Source organism: Homo sapiens (assembly GCF_000001405.40).
Source record: "Homo sapiens chromosome 1 unlocalized genomic scaffold, GRCh38.p14 Primary Assembly HSCHR1_CTG7_UNLOCALIZED".
Taxonomy (NCBI): domain Eukaryota; kingdom Metazoa; phylum Chordata; class Mammalia; order Primates; family Hominidae; genus Homo; species Homo sapiens.
This window is the reverse complement of record NT_187367.1, coordinates 1-5,798: the sequence shown is the minus strand read 5'-3', so window position 1 is coordinate 5,798 and position 5,798 is coordinate 1. Positions and strand designations below refer to the sequence as shown.

At 59.6% G+C, this 5,798-nt stretch overlaps 1 pseudogene; it reads right to left on the bottom strand.

The window, feature by feature from the left end:
- Positions 1-785: 785 nt before the first annotated feature.
- Positions 786-3,629, bottom strand: LOC101059996 (circumsporozoite protein-like; annotated as a pseudogene).
- Positions 3,630-5,798: the final 2,169 nt, after the last annotated feature.

Genomic DNA, 5,798 nt, shown 5'->3' with positions numbered 1-5,798 from the left:
CGCCGCGGCTTTTTGCCCCCCGCCGCCACGGCTTTTTAGCCCCCGCCGCCGCGGCTTTTTGTCCCCTGCCGCCGCGACTTTTTGCCCCCACCCCGCCTCGGCTTGTTGCCCGCCACGGCTTTTTACCCCCCGCCGCCTCAGCTTGTTGCCCGCCACGGCTTTTTACCCCATGCCGCCGCGGCTTTTTGCCCGCCGCGGCTTTGTGCCCCCCTCGCCGCCGCGGCTTTCTGCCACCCACCCGCCGCCGCGGCTTTTTGCCCCTCCGCCGCCGCGGCTTTTTGCCCCCACCCTGCCTCGGCTTTTTGCCCGCCGCGGCTTTTTGCCCCCCGCAGCTTTTTGCACCCCGCCGCTTTTTGCCCCCCCGCCGCCGCGGCTTTTTCCCCAGCCGTGGCTTTTCCCCCTGCCCCCGCGGCCTTTTTCCCGCCGCAGCTTTTTGCCCTCACCCCGCCTCGGCTTTTTGCCCACACCCCGCCTCGGCTTTTTGCCCGCTGAGGCTTTTTGCCCCCCGCCGCCGCGGCTTTTTAGCCCCCGCCGCCGCGGCTTTTTGTCCCCCGCCGCCGCGACTTTTTGCCCCCACCCCGCCTCGGCTTCTTGCCCGCCGCGGCTTTTTACCCCACGCCGCCGCGGCTTTTTGCCCGCCGCGGATTTGTGCCCCCCTCGCCGCCGCGGCTTTTTGCCCGCCGCGGCTTTCTGCCACACACCCGCCGCCGCGGCTTTTTGCCCACTCTGCCGCCGCGGCTTTTTGCCCGCCGCACATTTCTGCCCCCAAGAAGGCATGCGGCTTGTTACCCCCACATTGCCTCGGCTTTCATGCGCGCCGCGGCTTTCTGCCCCTCACACGGAATGCGGCTTTTCCCCCCCCCGCAGCCGTGGCTTTTTGCCCACCAACGAACCGGATTTTTGGCACCCGCGGCTTTGTGCCCCCCCAGCGCCAGGGCTTTTACACCGCCCCGGCTTTTTGGCACCCCGCCGCTTTTTGCACCCCGTGGCTTTTTGCCCCCTCGCCGCCGCGGCTTTTTCCCGCCGTGGCTTTTTCCCCCCTGCCCCCGCGACTTTTCACCCGCCGCGGCTTTTTGCCCCCACCCTGCGTCGGCTTTTTGCCCGCCGCGGCTTTTTGCCCCCACCGCCGCGGCTTTTTGCCCCCCGCCGCCGCGGCTTTTTAGCCCCCGCCGCCGCGGCTTTTTGTCCCCTGCCGCCGCGACTTTTTGCCTCCACCCCGCCTCGGCTTGTTGCCCGCCGCGGCTTTTTGCCCCCACCCCGCCTCGGCTTCTTGCCCGCCGCGGCTTTTTACCCCCCGCCGCCGCGGCTTTTTGCCCGCCGCGGATTTGTGCCCCCCTCGCCGCCGCGGCTTTTTGCCCGCCGCGGCTTTCTGCCACACACCCGCCGCCGCGGCTTTTTGCCCCTCTGCCGCCGCGGCTTTTTGCCCGCCGCGGCTTTCTGCCCCCACCCACCGCTGCGGCTTTTTACCCCCACCTTGCCTCGGCTTTCTGCCCGCCGCGGCTTTCTGCCCCCACCCGCCGCTGCGGCTTTTTGCGCCCCCGCCGCCGTGGCTTTTTGCCCCACCGCCGCCGCGGCTTTTTGTCCGCCGCGGCTTTGTGCCCCCCCGGCGCCAGGGCTTTTAGTCCGCCCCGGCTTTTTGACCCCTCGCCGTTGCGAATTTTGTCGCCGCGGCTTTTTGCCTGCCCCCCGCCGCTGCGGCTTTTTGCCCCCCGCCGCCTTTTGCACCCCGCCGCTTTTGGCACCCCGCCGCTTTTTGCACCCCGTGGCTTTTTGCCCCCTCGCCGCCGCGGCTTTTTCCCGCCGTGGCTTTTTCCCCCCTGCCCCCGCGACTTTTCACCCGCCGCGGCTTTTTGCCCCCACCCTGCGTCGGCTTTTTGCCCGCCGCGGCTTTTTGCCCCCACCGCCGCGGCTTTTTGCCCCCCGCCGCCGCGGCTTTTTAGCCCCCGCCGCCGCGGCTTTTTGTCCCCTGCCGCCGCGACTTTTTGCCTCCACCCCGCCTCGGCTTGTTGCCCGCCGCGGCTTTTTGCCCCCACCCCGCCTCGGCTTCTTGCCCGCCGCGGCTTTTTACCCCCCGCCGCCGCGGCTTTTTGCCCGCCGCGGATTTGTGCCCCCCTCGCCGCCGCGGCTTTTTGCCCGCCGCGGCTTTCTGCCACACACCCGCCGCCGCGGCTTTTTGCTCCTCTGCCGCCGCGGCTTTTTGCCCCCACCTTGCCTCGGCTTTCTGCTCGCCGCGGCTTTCTGCCCCCACCCGCCGCTGCGCCTTTTTGCGCCCCCACCGCCGTGGCTTTTTGCCCCACCGCCGCCGCGGCTTTTTGCCCCCACCCCGCCTCGGCTTCTTGCCCGCCGCGGCTTTTTACCCCCCGCCGCCGCGGCTTTTTGCCCGCCGCGGATTTGTGCCCCCCTCGCCGCCGCGGCTTTTTGCCCGCCGCGGCTTTCTGCCACACACCCCCCGCCGCGGCTTTTTCCCCCTCTGCCGCCGCGGCTTTTTGCCCCACCGCCGACACAGCTTTTTGCACACTCGCCGCCTTGGCTTTTTGCCGCCGCGGCTTTCTGCCCCCTCGCTGCCGCGGCTTTTTGCCCCTCCGCCACCGCCGCTCCTTTTTGCCCCACCGCCGCCGTGGCTTTTTGCCCACCGCGGCTTTTTGCCATCGCGGCTTTTTACTCGCCACGGCCTTTTACCCGCCGCGGCTTTTTGCGCCCCGCTGTCACGGCTTTTTGCCCCCCTGTCGCAGCGACTTTTTCGCCGCCGCGGCATTTTGCCCCCGCCGCCGTGGCTTTTTGCCGCTGTCGCCGCCGCTTTTTGCCCCCGCCGCAGTGGCTTTTTGTCCCCGCCACCGCGGCTTTTTGCTGCCGCGACTTTTTGCCCCGGTCACCGCCGCTTTTTGTCACCGCGACTTTTTGCCCCCGCCGCCGAGGATTTTTGTCCCCGCCGCCACGGCTCTGAGGGCGGGAGCGGCAGACTCGGCTGCCAGCTCTACTGGCGTCCTGGCAAGGGCAGCGCTGAGGGGTGCTCCTGGTCCAGCTCTCCTGGCTCAGGGATTCCTTGCCTAGGTGCCGGCGCCCCAGGCTCCTTGCCTAGGCCCCTGTGGCCTGCATAGAGTGGCGCTGCCTGTGGAGGCGATGGGAGAGAAGAAGGAGGGCGGTGGTGGGGGTGATGCGGCGGCCACGGAGGGTGGCACAGGGGCTGCGGCCAGCCGGGCGCTGCAGCAGTGCGGGCAGCTCCAGAAGCTCATCGTCATCTTCATTGGCAGCCTGTGCGGGCTGTGCACCAAGTGCGCTGTGTCCAACGACCTCACCCAGCAGGAGATACAGACCCCGGAGGTAAGGGGTTCGGGGACCCGGGCTGGGCTCCAGGAGCGGCCCGGACACCTCCTTCGGGGCCCCAGTTCACTCCTGGCCGAGTTGCATCTTTGAGCCCACGTCACCCCCTTGGAGGCTTCCCCTCCCTCCTGCACTCGCTGATGCGGCAGCCAGAGGACCCAGGACCAGCCCTCACCTTGGGCAGGATTTGTGGAGCGGGTGCGTGGTGGGAACTGGGATGGAGGCTCCAGGGTCCCGTGGGGGTGGGGGTGGGCTGCGTGAGGACATCCCCTTACCCCCTGAATTTCCATCTGGTCCAGCCCTCTCATCTTGTAGGTGAGGAAACCGAAGGCCTGAGGGAGAAATGACTTGCCAGGAACCCCTGTTAAGGAAAATTAACAAAGTGTGGTTATTAAAGAAGAACTGAGTTGGGAGTCAGACCTGGAGGCCCGCACCCGTGGTTAAGACATTATACCACCTTGAGTCTGGCCTGTTGACTGAGGGTGAGCCACTCCATCCTCATGTGATTGTGGGGTCTTAACCTCAAGGGGTTTCCTGCAGGAAGAAGCAAATGGGTTTGCTTTCCTAGCTCTGTCCAGTACTTTAGGGACCCTGAGGACTGAAGAGATTCTTGGAGAGCCATCTGGTGTATGTCATGGGTGGGTCTTTTTGGAAGGTCAGTCTGCCCAGTGGGCTGGCTCAGCCCAAATGAACTGTCTTGAATCTTTGGAGTTGTCTGTGTACTTTTAAGGGCTTCTCAGCCTTGCACCAAAAGATCCCCCTGGAAATTAGGTGGGAAAAACCTTAACTTTTGTGGGGCCTTGTGTTTGTCTTAAAAGTTCATGCACATAGCCAGGTGTGGTGGCTCCCACCTGTTATCCTTTCCTGGATCCCTTGAGTCAAGGAGTTTGAGACCAACCTGGACAATATAGTGAAACCCCATCTCTACAAAAAATAAAATATTAGCCAGGGGTGGTTGTGCGCATCTGTAGTCCCAGCTACTACTGTGGCTGAGGCGGGAGGAGCACTTGATCCTGCACTGAGCTCTGATCTCACCAGTGTATTCCAGCCTGGGCCACAGAGCAAGACCGTGACTCAAAAAAAAAAAAAAAAAAAAAAAGACAAGAAAAATTCTTCAAGATTTTGCATTCTGTCCCACTACCCATTGGTTTTCATGTCAAGATAATGTCAGAAATTCTTTACAATTGCTTCCAGAAGGAGTAGCCTTTTGATCTAGTGCACAGGTGTCCAGTCTTTTGGCTTCTCAGGGCCACATTGGAAGAAGAATGCTCCTGGGCCGCACATAAAATACACTAATGCTAACAACAGCTGATGGGGTTAAAAAAAAAAAAAAAGGTTTGTGCATAATTTTCATGCTACCCACCACCACAGATAGGTGAAAAAGTCCTTGTAGTCAAAGTGTTGGACACGGCTGATCTAGTGTCTTGTCATCCGTTTTGGCTTTCTCCCTGATTCCAGAATGCAGGTAGAGATGTAGAGACATGCTCTCAGGACAGCTGTTGAGATAAAAAAAAATTCGTTGTCATTTATTCCCAAGCACAGCTGTTTCTCATTGCATTGAAAAAGTCTCCATTCAAACTGCTGTCACATATAAAATCTATTTATGTAAGTCTGTATTTTTCTGTTGTCTTGGCCTTTGTAAGCAGTAGTGTGTTTTAACCGAGCAAACTGTCCTTCCAAATAATGAAGCCGAAGTCAGCCTACCTACTTGCCATTTTTCTTCCCCTTCCATTTTTGTAACCTCAGAATAATTGTAAGAATGAATTAAGATTTGTGTTTAAGGCCAGGCACAGTGTCTCAGGCCTGCAATCTCAGCACTTTGGGAGGCGGAGATGGTTGTATCGCTTGAGCTCAGGAGTTGAAGACCAGCCTGGGCAACATACTGAGACTCCGTCTTGTATAATTTAATTAAAATTGAAAAAAAGAAGAGAAAAAGACCTGTGTTTAAAATTTAAAAAAAGGGGGGGAAAGTGTAATGCAAAATGTGGACTATGCCAGCTATGATTGGGAAAACTAGTTTTTCATACAGCATTATCTGTAGACTTCTATTAGCAGCATACTGGTCATAAGCGTTTTGCTTTCCTCAAATATGATGAGGTAAGCTAATTTAAAGTGTGTTGGGGCTTTTTGCCGCGTGGCTCCTGGAGGTGTTGAGTCCCAATTTAGCCAATTAATTTAGGTTTAGTTTTGACGTGGATAAGGGAGACCAGCTTCATTCGTGGTGTACACACAGTTTTGCGAATAAGGAAACAAAAAAAAGCCACCTGAACTGTTCCTACTCATTAGATGCTCTCTGGAGAGCTCCTACCCCACCCTCACCAAGGCCTGGGCCATTAAAAAGACTCAATGCAGCCTTTCTGTATCTCATACTGTATTCTGCAAGATACTCCTCTGAAAGAAAGTTGTGCTGCATCAGGCATCTCCCTCCTGAACATCCCTGCGGATGAAGATTTGTGTTTTGAAAGTTCTGAGAATTC